The sequence below is a fragment of the Homo sapiens genome, chromosome 3, assembly GCF_000001405.40.
Source record: "Homo sapiens chromosome 3, GRCh38.p14 Primary Assembly".
NCBI classification, from domain to species: Eukaryota; Metazoa; Chordata; class Mammalia; order Primates; family Hominidae; genus Homo; species Homo sapiens.
The window spans coordinates 189,830,574-189,851,107 of NC_000003.12; the positions used below are offsets into that span (position 1 = coordinate 189,830,574).

A 20,534-nucleotide genomic window follows, 5' to 3' on the forward strand; every position below is an offset into this window, starting at 1 on the left:
TTTTACACAAGTATCATTTCTGTTTACATAACACGCAATTTTGTTGCTGCTGCTGTTGTTTTATTATGCCTGTCACTTGAGTAAAAGATGGATAAGGTAAGGTCTCCATTTAGAAATGTATAGTCTCTTGGCAGGGAAGACAAATAAAGGCCCATAATTATCATAACAGAAAAATTAATATGTGACGCAAGAAAAAATAAAGATACTATTAAATTTCTTTGGGACTTTGAAGGAGGAAGGGAGCATATAGACACTTAGTAAATATTGTTTGAAGAAGGGAATGAATATGTAAAGGGAGAATAAACCTCACCTATAAGGTCTAGGGCAATTTAAACACAAAGGAGTTGTGTAGGATTATTTAAGGTTTGCAAATGTGTAAAATTATCTCACTACAATACTAGGGAAATGGAAAAACACCAAAGTTCCTCTACCAGCTTTTGCTGGATGAGATGGGCCAGAAGTAGTAACTGCGAGGGCAGCCTGTATTTCTGTTGTTGGTGTGGTTTATCTTCCCAGTGCCAATGCTGCCAACTTCCCCTCAAATAAAAACCCATAGGGGTTCAGAGTCTCATGAGGTGAGAACAGACTTGCACTATCTGTGACAACAACAAAAGCACTTATAATTTTGATGTGGAGGATCCTAATTGAAATCTGCTGTTTGAGGTTCCTTGGGTCCTGCATTCTTTCTTAAATATTTCTACTTGAGTTGGTTATTGATCCTTATTTATTTTCCGTCTAATCGATTGACTTTATAAATCTATTGCAGAGGGCAGATTAAATAGGCAGACAGTTTTCTAATTTGCTGTGAGGGTATTTCTTAATTTACTTTTTAAATACTGATTTTATTTATACATTTATATGCACAGGTCATTTTCATTTCCATGATATCATTCGAGCTTCACAACCACACTCCAAGTTCAGTGTTGTTATCTTCATCTTCATGTTGAGGATGAGGACACGGAAGCTCACAGGTAAAGTGACAAACCCCAGTCTTTAGGCTACTAGATGGTGGAGTTCAGACTCTGATTTTCTGGCCAGGTGCTCATTTGATGATAGCAGCATGAAGCTCTTCCCATTCTGCACCGTTTGAGCTCCTACCCTTCCTAATCTTCTTTCTCTAATACGAGAACACTGTAATTAAAGTGGTATTTGGCTGATAAGTAGTAGGTTTTGATTTATAACACATAGAGCTGGCAGTGTAATTTTTGTCCCAGAACTTGATGTGCCATGAAAGCTATTATGCTCTTTTTTTTTTTTTTTTTTTTTTTTTTTTTGAGACGGAGTCTCACTCTGTCACCCAGGCTGGAGGGCGGTGGCGTGATATCTCGGCTCACTGCAACCTCCGCCTCCAGGGTTCAAGTGATTCTCCTGCCCCAACCTCCTGAGTAGCTGGGATTATAGGCATGCACCACCACTCCCGCCTAATTTTTGTATTTGTAGTAGAGACAGGGTTTCACCATGTTGGTCAGGCTGGTCTTGAACGCCTGACCTCATCATCCACCTGCCTTGGCCTCCCAAAGTGCTAGGATTACAGGCATGATCCACCACGCCCAGCACTATAATGCTTTTAATAGAGGGAAATGAATCTTCAGATGATGTCAGCATCCTAATTTTTTTTCTCCTCTTGGGGTTTTTCTAAATGACTGGCAAATGGAAAACCTGAAAGTTACCTGAGACTTCTCTGCATCGGGCTTGTTGGGGTATACTGTTCTTCTTATAATCAACCCCAGGGACTGACAGATGGACAGTTGTTAGAGACAAAGTCCTCAATCCAAGGAGGTCACTCAGGGCCAACTTTCCTTAGTATATATCGTTCATTACATTAGTTGGTTATATTACCTGTAGTACAACTCAAGTACAATAGCTGCAGGAGGAGACAGCTCGCCAGCTAAACCTAAAAGTTACAACAGTGACATAGCAAGCAAGGGTAAAATAAAAGGCTCTTGACTTATTCCTTCATTTTTTAATAAAGCATGAAGTTTGACATAAATTTTAACCTCTGGCCGCATAGTCAGTTATGCTTATTATCTTGTGTGTATTATTATGCTGTCAGGAGTTGGCCACTGATGACCAACTCCAAAATTTAGATGATAGAGATAAAACTGGTAGTTAATATATGTTGAGTACCAGGTCAAAAACTCCATAAGACACTTTACACTGTGGGAACTGGTTCATGTAACAGTTCTCCAGGATGGAGGATTAATATTCCCATTTCACAGATGCAGAGTTATGTGTCTTTCTAGACCTGACAACACCTGTCACCTACCAAATGAATAGAGAGCTATGCTATAAGTCTAGGGATGAGTGATCCTTGGATGCAGAGCACTTCCTACTAGTATTCTGACTTTTACTATTATGCGTCTGTTACTATTTGACAGCTCTCATTTTTGCCTGTCCAAATTTAAGCACGTTTAATGAGATAAAGAGAGCAGAGGCAAAGGTGAGACTGGATCTTCCCTTGTATCTTATTGATAGAGAGTAAATCGAATCCAATTTGCTAAGGCCTTCTCTCTCCTTTCATGTTTCCTCACTTTGCCTCCACCACCATGAGGTTGAAAAATGAGTTTCCATTTAGTTTAAGCCTTTTGTTATTCATTACTTAATTTTGCTTCTATTTCCCTCTTCTATCTATGACAAATTCAGCACAGTGAGGGGAAGAAACAGTGATGATAGTGATGGCCTCAAGAAGAAAACAGGGTGACTGAGTAGGAGCAAATAAGTATCTCAGACCAGCATATAAACAAGTTCATTTGTAGTGTAAAAGAACATTATGCCTTTGGCTTGAAAACTGCCTTTCCAATTTATGAGCATGTTTAGGATTATGTAAGTACAGTGTCTTCATAACAAGCCCAACACCTCTTACCCAAAGAATGCAAAACGCTTTGCAAACAGTAGAACTCACAATTCCCCTGTGACCTGGGGACTTATATGTATTTTCATGCATTATTTTTTATAGATTGAGAAGTGAACTTGAGACCTACCAATCTGTCCACGTTGACAAAATAGATCCAATACTAAACTCTTAATTCCAGCTTCCTGTCTTCTTAGAAGCAGATCACACTGAAAGAGGAATCTTATGTCAAGGGTAGCAATTTTCTCTCTCTCTTTTTTTTTTTTTTAAAGAAAACACAAATTACATAGTAGATATATTTGCATAAAGGTAGATCTTGAAAACATTTAATTAAGACAGCGGTATCTATTTCCAGGAAAAAATAGAAAAGCCAGATCTCTACTCCACTGAATTTAAAAATTAGAGCAGCATTTTGCAGTTAAAAACGATTATTATTTTGCATTCTGCCATTTGTCTTTACATGAAGAATGCCTGAATTCAGAATGGAAAATATTTTCTTTTGAAAAGTGCATAGGAAAGAATTGTTATAAAGCAAATGTGTTCAGAATGTATGTAGATATTAATTATAAGTAAAAGTAAAAGAAGTAGGATGTATGTGAGCGTATGTGCATTTGTGTTGCAGATAAACCGATTTTGAAGGTTGAGAGACATGACGATACTTGTTAGGTATGAGGGAGACAAGACCAGAGGCGCCGGGAAGCTTGACTACCGTGGAGAGCTCAGTTGAGACTTGTCTTTGCCCATGGCCTGCAGCGCTTATGTAGAAATTGGGGATGCTTTTACTCGTTCCAAAGCCTAACCTGATCAGACCTGCCCAGGTTGGAGTTTGGGAAAAAAAGTGTTTGAAGTAAACAGGAAAATTACTCACCTTAATGATGTGTCTTACTGGCACTGACAGTGCTTTGATAGTCTGACAGTCTTTTTTTTTAAGTTTTGGGAGGAAAGACAGGGGAAATTATTAATATGATTTTTGGAAAACATAGATTCTTATGCTTATGCACTTGCTAATAAGGTGGAAAAAGTGGGCTTTGCACCATTTACAGTTATGGACTCGCGTTTCCTCCTAATAAAGTCTATATCAGGAATTTTCCATTAGGAATTTCTACCAAAAAGAAAAGAAAATACGTTACTGTTTATTTTGTGTACTTGTGCCATGTATCTCCACAATTGCGCTGTGGCTGTTCACACAGAACAGATTCTTCCTAGCACTTGGGCTGTGGGTTCCCAAACTTGCAGGTCGCTTTCATCTGTCTGGTGATTAAGACCATAAACCAAGTGGTGTGATGAGAGAGTTTGGTGCTCTAGACAGAGCAAGCACACCCTTTTTTCATAAGAAGCACAATTCTTAAATCTCTGCACCTAAATCTTTCCTTAGGATGGGTCAGTTTTTTGGAAAAAGCAATTATATATGTTTTGATATTTTGTTGAAACATAATAGATGTTGATTTCATATGGTTTTTTTCCTTTTTTTTTTTTTGTCTTTGCTAAATGTCAAACGGTACATTTTTTCTAAGCTTGAAGACAGAGAACTGGGTCATATGTCTCTAAACATTTAAATCTTCACTGAGATAGGGAAGAGTGACCTGATCTTATGGATCGTCCGAGTCCTGTGAGACAAAAATGCTGGGTTTTTCATGCAGTCCCTAATTCACTTTGACCTTGGTGGAGGGAGTCAAATCTCCTAGTTTGAGATCCCACACATATAAAGCTCTAGAGTTTCAGGATTAAAATCTTCTTAACTTTATATTCTCAGATTCTGTATAGCTTATTAAACTAGATGGAGGGTCTAGTTATACTGTCTAGAAGGACATAGATGAATAGTTATATTTTATAAAAATTAAACTCCTAATGATAAAAGGCTAAATGGGGAGAGAATAAATTATAGTTTATGAAGGCATGTAAAACAAAAGATGTCTGCCAATTTCCTCTCTTTGGTTCTCTGACTGGGAATAACTGTATCGTTTTTACTTTTTTTGTCCTAACTGTGTCCTAATTGTAAATGAATCTGGTGCCCAGTAAAATCAAATGAATAGAAATACTTACCATGGTGTGTATATACCAGCCTCCTGGTGTCTCAGATATAATTAACATAATGAAAGCATTGCAATACATTCTTACCGAAGGCTCAGTTCCTGTCCTGTCAGCAACTGTTTGCCTACAACTAAAGCAAGTCTGGGTTCAAAGCATTTTAAAATGTTCCAAAAAAGTGGGGAAGGCGGCTGGGTGCAGTGGCTCACACCTGTAATCCCAGCACTTTGGGAGACCGAGGCAGGTGGTCAGGAGTTCGAGAACAGCCTGGCCAACATAGTGAAACCCCATCTCTACTAAAAATACAAAAAATTAACTGGCCATGGTGGCAGGTGCCTGTAATCCCAGCTACTTAGGAGGCTGAGGTAGGAGAATCACTTGAACTCAGGAGGCAGAGGTTGCAGTGAGCCAAGATCGTGCCATTGCACTCCAGCCTGGGCCACAGTGCGAGACTCCATCTCAAAATAATAATAATAATAATAATAATAATAATAATAATAATAATAATAATAATAATGTAAAGTGGGGAAGGCAAGATTTGGCTCACGCGTCAGACTTCCTATCAATGGGTCTATCTTTGAAGCAAGTGCTCAGAGTGTCTATTCCTTTGATCACACGGGTAGTGGTTTATTTCCATGAGTATTTGCTGTTTTCAGGAGATTTCACTTTGGGTTTTGTCCATATTCCACATTCAGGAAACTGTTAATTTTGGAAGAAGAGATTGTTTTTACTTGGTTCTTCTAAGGAAATTAATCAAATGTACACGTGCAACTTAAAATCAAAGAATCCCTGTTTTAAGAGGAGTTTTTCTTATTTCAACTGGCAAACAATATGAAACTGAATGTACCCAAAGTGTTGGAGGTTTACAAACATGATCAGCACTTGTTAATGACAATTTTCTCCTAAGAAAATGGAATGCTACCTTCTAGCATGGGGACTTGTAGGCAGTATTTCTGTGTTTGCTAGCCTTGGAAAGTATAACTCTTATAGGGTTGGGCAAAGCAAAGCGTTTTTGCTTTGTAACCTGTAGAAATGATTACGTAGTGTAATTTGGTTATTTAATATAATTTGTTAATAATTCTCATTCATCTACCAGAAACTTAAAACTTGGTACTATCCTGCTAATTTGGTTTTGGTAATGTCTCTTTTCCCTAATTTTAATATCCCTGTTCCTTGGCAAACCCATCCATACACCTACCTGTTGTTCAACTGGTGTGATAAGCCCCATCAGTGCTCCTAGACATTTTCTTTTCCTACTCTTCCTCTTCAGTGTCAGGCAGAAGGATCTTTCTAACACTCGCCTCAGTTCATGGATTGCTGATGGTCCATTGTTGGTGACTGCATGATGACCTGTAAGCATGTCACACTCTGACCAAAGTGTTTGTATTTGGCCCAATTCCCCACGGCTAATAATAATCCCTTTCTGTTTGGAAAATGTCTTATATTTTTCAAAACACACACATATATGTATTATCACATTTAATCCTCATAACAAACCTGTCACATTGGCAGGTGTTATTCTCACTTCTCACATGCAAAGTTATGTAACCTTTCTTGAGATTATACCTCAGTTTGGAAAGTAGGGGAATGAGCCTTCTGCCTCTGTGAGTACCGTGTTCTTCACGGTGTACGATGCTTCCAAATATATACTCTTCCCAACAGGCAGAGGTGGTGTTTCGCAGTCAACAAAAGATGATTTTTGTTTTGTTTTCCCTTCTGCATGCCCTGTCTCCTGCTACTTCCTCTGTTCAAAACATTTTTTTTTTCTCTCTCTCTCTCTCCTCTCACTGCTGCCTACCAAAATTATGTCACATAATTTGGCTATTTAATGTAATTTGGTTAATAATCCTCATCTATCTACCAGAAACTTAAGAGTTGTTATCATCCTGGCAATCTACCTTGAAGATTGGCAAAATGTTAGTTAACTATTGAATATAGATGATGAGCATATGGAATTAAATTTGAAATTTCCAATTTCAGGTTCCAAAAATCCAATTTCAAATTAAGAAATTTTAAATTTAAATCTTAAATTAAGAAATTTAAGAAACTTCTTAAAATTTTTACTTATCCTTTCTAGCTAGAGTTGCCAGATTTAGCAAATAAAAACCAAGGATGTCAGTTAAATGTGAATTTCAAATAAACCATGAAAAAATGTTTAGCATAAGGGAATCCCATGCAATAGTTATTACTTTTGTTTTATTTTGTTTTGTTTTCTTGAGACAGAGTCTCCTTCTGTCACCCAGGCTGAAGTGCAGTGGTGCAATCATGGCTCACTGTGGCCACTACCTCTCAGGCTCAATCAGTCCTCCCACTTCAGCTTCCTGATGGCTAATTTATGTATTTTTTTTTTCTTTAGGGACAGGGGTTTTGCCATGTTTCCCAGGCTGGTCTGGAACTCCTGGGCTTAAGCAATCCTCCCGTCTTGGCCTCCCAAAGTGCTGGGACTACATGCATGAGCCATTGTGCCTGGCCAATATTCCTTACTTATGCTGAAAAATTTCATTGCTTTTACAATTAAATTTTAATTAGGCTGGAGATTATCTGGTAACCCCATTCCCAGCTCAATCACCAACTCTCTAAGCAGAAGGAAATTTTTCATCTCTCTTGCCATAGTGAGGTCAGGATTAGTGAGGTGACAAGATTAAATATGAGCTAAGCTATGACACTTGTTTTCCACAGTTTCCTGAGCCCCCCTCCCTCCTTTTCTCTTTCTTCCTTCTTACCTCCCTTCCTCTCTCCTATTTATTCTTCCTACCTTTTTGTTGTTGCTGTGAGTGTCTTCACCTGTTTCCTTCCTTCCTTTATATTCCTGGTAATGTTTCAAATTTATTGGCATGGGCAGCTTCTCATAATAGGTTTGTTTTTATTATTTTTCTTGTTATTACTAAAACATGTTAATAGATAGATTCTAACTCTATGGCACAACTAAGACAGTTGTGTTACATTCTTTTCCGTGTTGGGGCTAATTAGAATATTAAGTTTACAAAGAATGCAGAAAAAGCGAACAAGATGAAGCACGTTTCCGTCTTAAACAAATGAACTCTAAAGAAATAGGAAGTAACATGATGACAAGCTTTTAAGAGATGTTGCAAGTAGAGGAAAGGGTTTGTTTAAATCTCTCCCCAAGCACCCCCTACACCTACCCCCAGCCAACACAGATGCTTATGTATTAGTGGCCCACACGGTACCTAATTATCAACGATGGAAATAGATGTCTCAAAATTGTTTCAATTATCCAGGGGTTCCCTTAAAAAAGGAGAGGAGAGCAAAAGTTTAAAACTTGGCTTGAAGGTATTAAAGAGCAAATCTGATCTAATTGATTAAGTTACACCTTTCCTTTTTGGCAGTATCTTAATACCCCTAGGATCTCAGTATTTCAGCATATTGGTTTCCTGTACTTATCTAGAATAAAGAAACTCAGCAATTTGCCTATAGGATAGTAGAGCCTTGAACTAAATTTATCTCATTATTGTTCACTTGAAACCTTGGGGACAGCTGTAGTTGAAGGGACCTTAAAGTCCCTTAAACTTCTCAGCATTTGCAGGTTCACTTTTAAGGTGCACTAAAAAGCAACTAGTATCCTAAGCTAAAAAAAAAAAAAAAAAAAAAAAAGAAAAAGAAAAAGTAGATTTAAGTATACCAATGAGCATGGACTCTGTTTATGTTTTGAAATCCATTTGCTACTCATTTTCCTCGTTTTTAAATCCTATTATATTTACACCTGGGCATCCATTTCTCTGAAGAGAGAAGAATGAAGGATCTAAAATGTCAGAATAACAGTGATTCTCAACAATTATTGTCGGCACTCTTTCATGAAGAGATTTAAAGCTCTTTGCTTATCTGACTTAATTCCTGCCGGAAGGACAGTACAGAGGGATTACGGTTTAAATATTGCAGTTAGAAGCACAAAGTGGAACCTGGACTTCCCCGACCTTGGAAGAAAAATAGTAAAGTGTGGTTCCTATAAAATATTATAGGAACTTCAGACATAGAATGGAGCATCCATTTATAGTGATTTAAGTTCCAGTATTGAAACAGGCCTTCTATTTTTATTTCAATCTCCCTCCCCTTTATTTTCTTTGTTTTGTGATTCACCCCAAAACGTATCTTCTTATACGGTAATATTAACTAGTACCTTAGTCAAAGATTGATCTCCAGAAGTTTGTTTAGGAAATTCCTTGTGTTACTTGTCTAGCAGTTAAACTGCCTAGTGGAAACAACAGCTCAGCTAAATAGTGTGATGCAATCGTGATAGCTGCTGTTCATCAGGCATTTACCCTGGACCAAGCACTGTACCCTGAATATCATGTGGCTTTTTCTCCACACTCAGGACAAGCTTGCAGTGGGCAGTAGTATTATCTCAGCCTTGAAATGAGTCACACAAGGTTTTGCAGCAGAGAGAACTGTCCTCTTTTTCAGCCCTGTACAGGGGAGGAGCAAGGGTGCTGCAGTGAGGGGATCTGGAGTTGAATCTGGCTTAGTAGCTGTGAAAGATTGGGCAACTTATTTCACGTTTAGGAGTTTCAATTTACTTAACTGGCAAATGGAATAACAATGTCTACTTCACAGCTTACTGCGATGATCATATAAGACATAAAGAACTTAGCGAAGTGCCTAGACTGTAGATCACAGTACGTGTTAGCTTTTTGTGTTTTATACATCAAGCGTAAGTCTTATTTTTTACATCTGTCATATTACCCTTTCCCCAGTATTCAGAGTATTTGAGTGTATACGTACGGGTGGTAAGTGTTGTTTTTCATTGAAAGTGCAGATCCTAACTTTTTTTTTCATGCAGTAATCCTCAAAAAGGTAGACGTCTACCATAATTCAGTCTATTGCTCCAATTGGAGGATGTACAGTTGTTTTAGGAGTTAAGGAATTGAGTTTTTTCTTTTTTGCTTTTCGTCTTTTTTTTTTTTTTTTTTTTTTTTTTTTACAAATTCTTTTATTCTTTTCTTCTCCAAATTCAGGCAAACAGTATTAAACACTTTGTTTTAAAAATAGATTGTGTACGTGTGTGTGTGTGTTTATGAGAGAGACAGAGAGAGAGATGGGAGAGGGTGAGAATACACAGTAAGGACTTGGAACATATTCTTTGTGTGAAATGTTAAAAAATTGTTCACGGTGGCTGGGTGCGGTGGCTCACGCCTATAATTCCAGCACTTTGGGAGGCTGAGGTGGGTGGATCACGAGGTCAGAAGTTCAAGACCAGCCTGGCTAAGATGGTGAAACCCGTGTCTACTAAAAATACAAAAATTAGCCGGGTGTAGTGGCAGGCACCTGTAATCCCAGCTACTCGGGAGCCTGAGGCAGAGAATTGCTTGAACCCGGGAGGCAGAGGTTGCAGTGAGCCGAGATCATGCCACTGCACTCCAGCCTGGGCGACAGAGCAAGACTCAGTCTCCAAAAAAAAAAAAAAAAAAAAACAACTATTCAAGGTTTCCCAATAACCTTCTTGGGCTTTGAAGCTAGAGAGCGCTTTGGAATTCATGCTCCATTATATGTGTGTCTTAATGCTATATACTGTTGTAGGTCAGCAATATTTATATACATAAGTTTATATATATGTATATATAGATCTTTTGTAAATAGAGGGTGGATACTTTGTCCCCACCTTTTCCCATCCTAGCATGCAGTATAATGATTTGAACACGGCAAGGACACCACAAAGGCACAGGAAGACATCCTGCAATGTACATATAGTATGTGCCTTATGTACAGTAAGGGCCCTGAATTTAAAGTTAAAACCTAGATTGGAGAATTCTAACTTTGTGTTATCGTGAGCAAAGTAGTTTACTTAAGTCTCTGATTCTGATTCTTCCTTGACAGAAAGGGAATACAGGTGACTTTCTTATAGAGTTAGCTGAGGATTAAATTAATAGCTGTATGAAAATGCTCTATAAACTGTTAAGGACTATACAGATGGGTGAGTGATGGTGTCATTTATGGAAATCAGTAGATGCCATTACTCTCCATACTGTCGATACATAGTCTCCCATTTCTTCTTATCAGACTGGCCTACCTAGTCTTCCGGTAAAAAGAATATCCCGCAGATACAAATTACCATTACTGGAACAGAGGACTCACTTTTAGAGCAGATGTACAAATGAAACTCCAAAACAAGCCACAAATCTACCAGGAAAGAGAACCAATATGTGTGGTATTATATCGCCAAGGATACCTGAGTCATTTCATAGAAATTGAGCTGTGAGTGCCTCCCAGAATGAATGGTTTCTGAACGTGTTTCTGTTAGGAATGATGCAACCTTCAGTAGAGACCAGAGATTTAAGAATTCTATACTGTGAGTCATTTTAAAAGACAATCAAAGAGTATGTGTGGAAGCATAGACAATAACTTTCACCTCTAGCGTCCAGGTGTTGAAGGAGGTCAGCTACCAGGGAAGGACTCCTACGACTTTGGGTGCCACTGCGTGAGGCTTTGTCTTGGACCAGGGGGTAAAACATATCTCAGGCAGGACGCTGAGCTCTAGGTAGGGCTATCGTTTTTGTAGAAGCGTGACTTCTTGATACAACAAAGTAAGAGCTGAGGAAGGAACAGGGAAAACCAGTTTGGGCCCAGAGGGGAAAGAAATGATAGTGTAGTAGCCCGCGGTTTTGCAGGCAGTTGGGAGTAGCAAGCCACCCTTAGGGGGAGGATAATGTTTTCTCTACCTTAAGGGAAAATGATAGCTGACTTGCAGAGCAGTGTGCTGAGACAGACATGCTGCTACTGCAGTGGAAGGGGGTTGCAACGTATTGTCTTCTGTCTGGAGAGAGAGAGAGAGAGAGCGCGTGTATGTCACGTCTGTGTCCATAAAGCTCTCCGATCTGCCCACCAACCCTGTCCCCCACCAATAACATCTTAAAGAGAAGAGGTACAGGAATGTTTTACAGTGAAAAGATTACAGGGCTGGAAATTAGAAGCCACAAGTTCTAATTATGTCTCATTGCTAACTTCTGGTGTGATATTTTCTCTGGGTCTCTCATTTATCGGGGAGTTAAACTAGGTATGTCCAGTAGGGGTGAGGGGTAAGAGTTCTCTGCCCATCCAGGGTTTCTACTAGAAGAATTTTGACTCTACAGATAATTGTGTCTTCCTGTATTGCTGAGGAATGTCCAGGTTTGTTTTATTGAGGGGCAGGGGAGCACATAGATGTCCAGTAGTCAGGAAGGTGGTTTGCAGGCCTTTAATCAGCACTGAGAAGAGGGAAAACTAACTGCAGTTCAGTTCTCAGTTCCACCATTCACTGGAGTGCTGCTTTCAACTTTTGAGCTCCTGTTTCTACACCTCTAACGTATCAGTGTCATCTCACCCTGGCCTTTTTCTCATGATGGTCGTGACTTTAGGAAACATGTAAGAGTAAGCCGACCTTAACACGAGTACCTGCTGTATGACAGTCACTCTGACAAATGCCTCCCAGTGTCTGCTCTGTGAAGGTAACTGTGAATGATATTACTGGTCAGGTGGGGTTGACAGAGGTGGCCCTGGCAGGAGACACTAAATGAAAGGTCATTTTACCCTCCTGGGGAGATAAAGTTGCAAAATTACCGATCAAGTCTGTCAAATCTTTTTAGACTGGGTTTCCAAATCCATACCCTCAGGCAACTAGAACAAGGCTGGCGAGCTCCACCCCCGCCCCTTCCCAAGGTGGGTGCCAACATGCTGCCCTTCAGCAGGGAGGACACAGCTGCCTCTGGGGCCAGTGCCCAGGGCTAGCCACAAAGCTGGCTATGGCCTCCCCAAGAAGACCCAGGACACATTACTCCCTGCAGAGGTTTTGCTGCTTTGTGGCACGGTCTAAGTGTCGCCCCACTCCCACCACCTGCCAGGCCCAGTGGGCTCCTGGCTGGTCCTCACGGTAAGTGAGTAGCAGACAGCCCACCTGCTTGATGTCAACATTTGTGGGCGCGGCCCGGGAAGAATGTGCCGCTCCCAGCCTCCTTGGCTCAGGTAATTAATCCCCGCAACTGACAGGTGGCAACAGGCGGCCCTTTGGCTGGAGCCATCAGGAAAAGTGCTTGGAGGAAGGATTTTTTTAAAAAAATGATCAAGAGCACAATTCGTACATGTCTGGCAGCTAGACGGCTGTGGCAGGAAGGGAGGCAGGGAGAAGTAAATACCTTGCCAAGACGACTGTGGGGCCAATGTTGGGATCTGCGTCTGCCTGATCATTGTGATAGATCCAAAAGGATATGGTGGCCTTGGACTTGTTTGCAAGCTCACTTTGCAGAATTCCCCTTCCTTTGATGTGGATACAGTCTTAAAATGGAATGCCTCATTTGTGAATCAAAAAATCCGGGGCCAAAGTTGGAGCCCCAGAGGAGAAATAATTTGCCCAAGATGATGCAGTAAGTCAGTGGGCAGGTAGAGGACTAGAAGCCAAACTCAATGCCTCTTGGCTTTGTTTCCATGATTCACTGGGCAATATTTACTGCCCCATTATACACATGTAGTTTAGAAATAGAATGACAAAACTGGGGTCCTAGTCAAAGGAAGGATGATCAGTTGCCTCTTGAAAGATATTAGTGTTTTCAATCTAACCACTTAAAGCTGACTTCTCAAGAGAATGCCCCCACCCCAACCCCAGACCACCTGTACCCATTCACCCCCCCTACTTTTTATTTTTGGTAGTTCGGGACACTGACTATCAGAACACATTGACCTGATGTTTATTAGGATGGATATATTAAAAGCCATTGAAATGAACACTTTTCCTTTTTCTTTTTTTTTTTTCTTTGAGACAGAGTCTCGCCTTGTCTCCCAGGCTGGAGTGCAATGGCATGATCTCAGCTCACTGCAACCTCCACCTCCTGGGTTCAAGTGGTTCTCCTTTCTCAGCCTCCCAAGTAGGTGGGATTACAGGCACGCGCCACCACGCCCAGCTAATTTTTGGCACGACCTCAGCTCACTGCAACCTCCGCCTTCTGGATTCAAGCGATTCTCCTTTCTCAGCCTCCCAAGTAGGTGGGATTACAGACATGTGACACCACACCCAGCTAATTTTTGTATTTTTAGTAGAGATGGGGTTTCACTATGTTGTCCAGGCTGGTCTCAAACTCCTGACCTGAGGTGATCTGACTCGGCCTCCTGAAATGCTGGGATTACGGGGGTGAACCACTGCACCCGGCCAACACTTTTTAAACATTACATTTTTTAAAAAATAATATCTTTCTCGATATGAAATTTAAAATGTTTTTCAAGTGAGTTTTTTTGTAGAGGACAAATCCAAAGTATAGTATATAATTAGCCCATATAACTTCATGTGATAATCAGTGTCTTTGAAGCAGACCAAACTGAAGCTGTGTCTCAGCGCTAAGGGTCTTTTTACATTTTACTGAATTGGATCTTTAGAATTAATTTTTCAAACCCTCCTTATCAAAAGTTATTGTTGGACCCTCAAATTTTTATTTTCATGTATCTCATTTCTCTTCCCTAAATCTTGCCTCCCACCAGATTAGCTGCCAGAACTTTATCTGGTTCTCTGGCAACCCTCCATCTGTTTTGTATGATTTTTCATTCCCAGCAGTTCTAATTATTGATTTCATCACCCTCTTACCCTTATAAAAGGACATTTTTAATTTGGCAGTCCCAAGGAATATAGCTTATAAAAAGAAAAAAAATTAAGTCACTGAATGTTTTAGGAGAGCACTAAGTTAAGACAGACTTTGTACTTGATTAACGGAATTGTTCTGAGAGCTTTAGAGCTTGACTTTTTTTTCTTCCTGTCAAGTATTTTGGGTTATTTGAGATAGTACAGACAACACTTTACCTCTTAAGTTTTTTGAACTAGAAGCCATAAATTAGAAGTGCACCTGGCATTTCCTGTTTGTGACTAGTGGCTATCTTTTAGATAACAGTGAAGTCCTCAATGTCCTTGATAGGTTCTTGGTAAACTGCGACCTTAAACAAAATGATGTGCAGGAGATCTTCGAGTAATTGTTTCATACAATGTTATTTTCTTATAACAGTGATGAGAAAAACAAATTGTTTTGTTATATGTGTTTTGCTTAAAGTTACAGTTCCCAAAAATCTATCAAAAATGTTAAATGAGGATTCATTGTATTTGTAAATCTCATTATTTTTCTCTCTTTTTTAAAGAAACTAAATTCAAATTCATTCAGAAAGCCAGGCATAAAGTGAGACTAATATGTTCGTTGGTGTATTTAAGCCTTTCTTAGAGTTTTCTTTTTTTTAAGACCTCAGTATAAGAACATGCCAGACGTGAATTGATCTGGAATTGCAGACTCGGGAGGGCTTTGATGCTACTCTATCTAGTTGCCTTCCTTGAAGAGGGATTGAGAAGAGAGGTAGGTTATAGAATTAATGATTTTTTTTTGTTCCGTGAGAGTTTATTTCATCCATAGTCTCTAAGATTTAGGGCTCAAGATAGCCATGTGATTTGAGATTTGCATGTAGTATGGCATTTCTTCTGGGAGAGGATGAAAGAGCTAAAGTTCTTGTTTTTTGGTTTTGGTGTAGTAGGCAGGGAGGGTTTTGATTCTACCTTTAGGAAAGGGAGGTGTTGAAAAATTACGCAGGTGTGTGCTGATATTACCTGGCACCTCTATGCATTGTGATACTGAATTACCAGTCTGCCAGCCAAAAGCGTGTAATATAGTATGTCTACTGAGGCAGGTGGTAAAGGTAGGGTCCTAGTCACTGGAATTCTTTTTTTTTCCCCCTTCTCTTTGCAACATATTATTAGTAAAGGAGCTGAATTTACTTGTTTTCCAAAATCCCCTGGAGTTGTTTTATTTGAACATGATATTTGGCTTTAAGCAGCTCACCCCTCGATATTCCAAACTTCCTCCCCTCCCTCCCAAAGCAAAACAAAATTTAGGCAAAGCTTACTTATCCATTTTGACAAGGATATTTTATAAAAAGAAGGAGTTTAGTTCATTTGTTAGTTTTCAGGAACTTCTTTTCCATGTCATTGTTGAAATATTTAGTTCATGTGGATGGCCAAAACTGTCATGTCAGTATACAAGGAAATTTGGTTGAAGATCAGTACAATATTAGGCTCATCATTCTTGCCCATGGGCTGGTGCTTCCTGGGAATGAACAAACTATTGAATATATGTACAGTATGTATACAGAAGAACATATATTAAGTTCTACTTTATATATTTATACATATATGATCAGAAATGGCCAGTAGGGTGTGTGTGTGTGTGTGTGTGTGTGTGTGTGTGTCATCAGAAAGATTACCAACACTTTGTTTTCCACATTCTTTTTTTTTTTTTTTTTTTTTTTTGAGACAGTCTCACTCTATTGCCCAGGCTGTAGTGCAATGGTGTGATCTTGACTCACTGCAACCTCTGCCTCCTGGGTTCAAGCAATTCTCCTGCCTCAGACTTCTGAGTAGCAGAGATTACAGGTGTGCATCACCACACCTAATTTTTATATTTTTAGTAGAGATGGGGTTTCACCATGTTGTCCAGGCTGGTCTCGAACTGCTGACCTTGTGATCCACCCACCTCGGCCTCCCAAAATGCTGGGATTACAGGCATGAGCCACCACGCTTGGCCTTCCACATTCTTTATTAAAGAGTCACTTTGCCAGTGCAAATCTGGTAACTGCGTTCTCTAAGAGATTTGCACCAAATTATAAAATAATCAAATGAGGCCGGACACAGTGTCTCACGCCTATAATCCCAGCACTTCTGGAGATTGAGGCGGGCGGATCACCTGAGGTCAGGAGTTTGAGACCAGCCTGGTCAACATGGTGAAACCCCGTCTTTACCCAAAATACAAAAATTAGCTAGGTGTGGTGGCGGGCGCCTGTAATCCCAGCTACTCAGGAGGCTGAGGCAGGAGAGTCGCTAGAACCTTGGAGGCAGAGGTTGCAGTGAGCTGAGATTGCACCATTGCACTCCAGCCTGGGTGACAGAGCGAAGCTCAGTCTTAGAATAACAAAAATAATCATCATCATCATCATCATTATCATCAAATGGAAGTAACACTATACATTATCTATTTTCCCCTCTATGAATGATTAGCTCAAGATTTGGGGGGATCATGTAAGTTGCCAGTTATTTCTCAGTGAGTGTCAGATATTTATGACTTCTTTGAAGAGGCCAATCGTTTTTGAAAATTATTTCAGATGTGCTTTATTTCCCCCCACCCATCACAGTATTTTATTTCTGATTTCACTTAGATTTGCATAATGCAAAGAGCCACAGTTGCACTGGGGGTCCTTTCTAAATAGGCAACGAGGTTAGTGCAACCCACTGCTGACTTATTGAACCCAGGACCTGATGGAGTAGAGTTGATTCTTAAAGCAATGAGTGGGCATTTTGTGTTGTTTTTATGTTCAAGCTCCCATTGTGAGAATATGGTTACACTTTAGGGAAGAAAACCTCAACTCTTAGACAAACTTCTTTGCTTAACTAAAAATAAGTATATATACTCCTGTAAGAATTTGGTGATCATATTTTTATTTTTGTTAGTAAGATGGCCTCTGAGCTTTACACTTGATTGTCTAATCATATATTTTCTAATCATGTGTTTATTCACTCAAATTCACTCTGGCACGAATACACCAGTTCCACTTTGGCCTCATACTATAACTGTTAAAACTGTGTGGGACGTGGGGAAGAACACTGGTCTGTATGTCAAGATGGTCCCAGTTACTGAGAACTTTTGAGCAAATCTCTTCTCCTTTCTGGGGCTTAGATTCCTCATCGGCGAATAAAGTGGCTGAACCAAATGATCTTTAACTTTGAATTTTCCTGATCTAACTTTTCCTTTTCCTTTTCCTCCCTCTGCCTCCTCCTCCTCCTCCTCCTTCTCTCTCTCTCTCTCTCTCTCTCTCTCTCTGTTGCCTAGGCTGGAGTGCACTGGTCTGAGGATGGCTCACTGTAACCTCAACCTGCTGCACTCAAGTGATCCTCTGCACCTCAGCCTCCTACAGATGCCCCCATACCTGGCTTTTTTTTTTTTAATTTTGTATAGGCAGAGTCTTCTTGTATTGCCCAGACTGGTCTCAAATTCTTGGGTTCAAGCAATACTCCTGCCTAGACCTCCCAAAATGCTGGGATGACAGGCATGAGCCACTGAACTTGGCCCCTGATCTAATGTTCTAAAAAAATCTTAGCAAATGTGTGTTAAACTAAAAATGCTTTGAAATGGGATGACTCAGTAATAGAAACATAGAACCAAGCCCTTGCTTTAAGATGTCAAGTTGGATTTCTACAGAAATTCTGTAATTAGAATATAATATTGTAGTAAAAGCATTATCTTCATAGAACTAAGGAAATCTGAGTTCACTTCTTCATTACCCAAATTTAGTTGTGCAACCTTTAGAAATCATTTTATCAGGGATGCACTCCTGACCCTCTGTGATATCATGAAATACGTATTTGGACTTTGTCCAAGTTTCTTGGCATATAACTCCTAAAATCCTTGGAATTTCCAAAATGCTGCCTTTTTTGTATGCTAATGCTGGCTCATGGGTTCAGAATGGGGGTCTGGTCACTGGAAAGGCAAAGGCACAATTAGAGAGTCAGCCCCACCCCCCAGCCTCCAGGAAGGAGAGAGAGGCTGAAGGTTAAGTTGATCACCACTTGCCAATGGTTTAATCAATCATGGCTAGATAATGAAACCTTCATAAAAACCCAAAAGGACAGGTTTCAGCAAGGTTCAAGATAGTAAAACATGTGGAGAGTTTTAGAGGTTGAAGCCCAGGGAGGGCATGGAAACTCTGCACCTCTCCCCCCATACCACTCCCTAGATGTCTCTTCATCTTCATCCTCTGCAACATCCTTTATAATAAACCAGTAAATGTGTTTCCTTGAATTCTGTAAGCTGCTCCAGCAAATTAATCAAACCCAAATTGGGGTCATGGAAAACCCAATTTGAAGCTGGTTGGTCAGAAGTTCCAGAGGTCTGGATTTGCTCCTGGTTGTGTGTGGAGTCTTGGGAACTGAGTCTTCAACCTGTGCGATATGACAGATCTCCGGGTAGACAGTGTCACAGTTGAATTGGAGGACACCCAGCTTGGTGTCTGCTGCTTGGTGAGTGGTGAAAAACTCCCACACATTTGGCCACAGAAGTCATCTTCTGTGTTGATGATTGTTGCTGTGGTAATGTGAGAGGAGAGGAAAAAACACAGTTTGAGCATTTCCCAAAACATCCTCCAAGCTAAATAGACCCCCATGTTTTACCTTCTCTCCTTTTGCTTTTTTTTCAAGACATGTGTCACAATTTTAGAAATTATTTTTTTTAATGTCAGTACTTCCTTTGGATCAACTCCCTTAGTGTAAGGTTTACCGTTGGTTCCCTAATAGCCAGGACAAGGACTGGCATGAAGCGCGTGCTCAATAAATATTTGCTGAATTAATAAGCTTCACCTCTTTAAGTCTCAGTTTTATATCAGAAAATTAGGAGAAGAAGGTTTGGACAAGAGGTGCTATAATGTTCCTTCTGAGTTCTAACATCTTCTGTATTCTCTGTCTTCTAAAATCATAGGTCTGTAACAAGTTTACAGGTTGGTGCTACTCATAATAATTTATGTATTAAACATTTTAAGTGAGAAATATTTCAAGGTCAGGTGTGGTGGCTCATGCCCTATAATCCGAGTACTTTGACAGGCTGAGGTGGGTGGATCACACTTGAGGTCAGGAGTTTGAGACCAGCCTGACCAACATGGCAGAACGCTGTCTCTACTAAAAATACAAAAATTAGCCAGAAGTGGTGGCACTCGCCTGTAGTCCCAGCTGTTTGGGAGGCTGAGGCAGGTGAATTGCTTGAACCCAGGAGGTGGGTGTTGCAGGGAGCCAAGATCATACCACTTCCCTCCAGCCTGGGCAACAGAGTGAGACTCCATCCCCCCGTACCCCTTCCCCCACCGCCACCACCAAAAAAAGAATTATTTCTAACGTAAAAAAAGTAAGTAAATTAAGACATCTGAGTATAAGACAAAATGTTAACATTTTTCCATATTGCTTCAAATCTTTTCCTTAAATAAAATATAAAGCAAAAAGTACTCCTCCATTCTATCTCATTTCCCTTCTTTCAGCCATTAAAATGAATAAAATATACCTGTATATAAGAACATGGATAAATCTGGGAAGCATGGGAATTGAAAATAGATTACTAAGGCTAAATGTAGGATGATGTAAATTAAATTTTAAGGACACGGGGAGGGATAGCGTTAGGAGATATACCTAATGCTAAATGACGAGTTAATGGGTGCAGCACACCAACATGGCACATGTATACATATGTAACAAACCTGCACGTTGTGCACATGTACCCTAAAACTTAAAGTATAATAATAATAAAAATAAAAAAAATTTTAAGGACACGCAAAATTATATTACATATATTTATGGATGTGTATTAAAAATGTATGGGAGTAAATAAAATTCTTTTTTTATAAATGAATCTAGTAATTTGAAATGGTTAAGAACTTAATGATTATTAATAGATAAATATGAATTGTGTGATTTATTTTAAATGGTTAACATTCAAACTTTAGCAGACTTTTACTATGTCAACAAACACTTTCTCACCAGGTTGAGATACAGTTTTCACAGTGCTGTCTTAAAATTACTTAAGCTATGTTAAACACTTTATGTGGAGAATCTTAGAAATATGAGGCTTCAGTCATAATTGTTATACATGACTTTTATTTTGATCTTTGCAGTTGAGTA

The 20,534-nt window shown here is 39.7% G+C and overlaps 1 protein-coding gene across 13 annotated transcripts in view; it reads left to right on the plus strand.

The window, feature by feature from the left end:
- Positions 1 to 20,534, plus strand: part of TP63 (tumor protein p63) — a 300,531-nt gene that overhangs the window by 233,828 nt on the left and 46,169 nt on the right. The gene's annotated exons all lie outside the window — the stretch shown is intronic.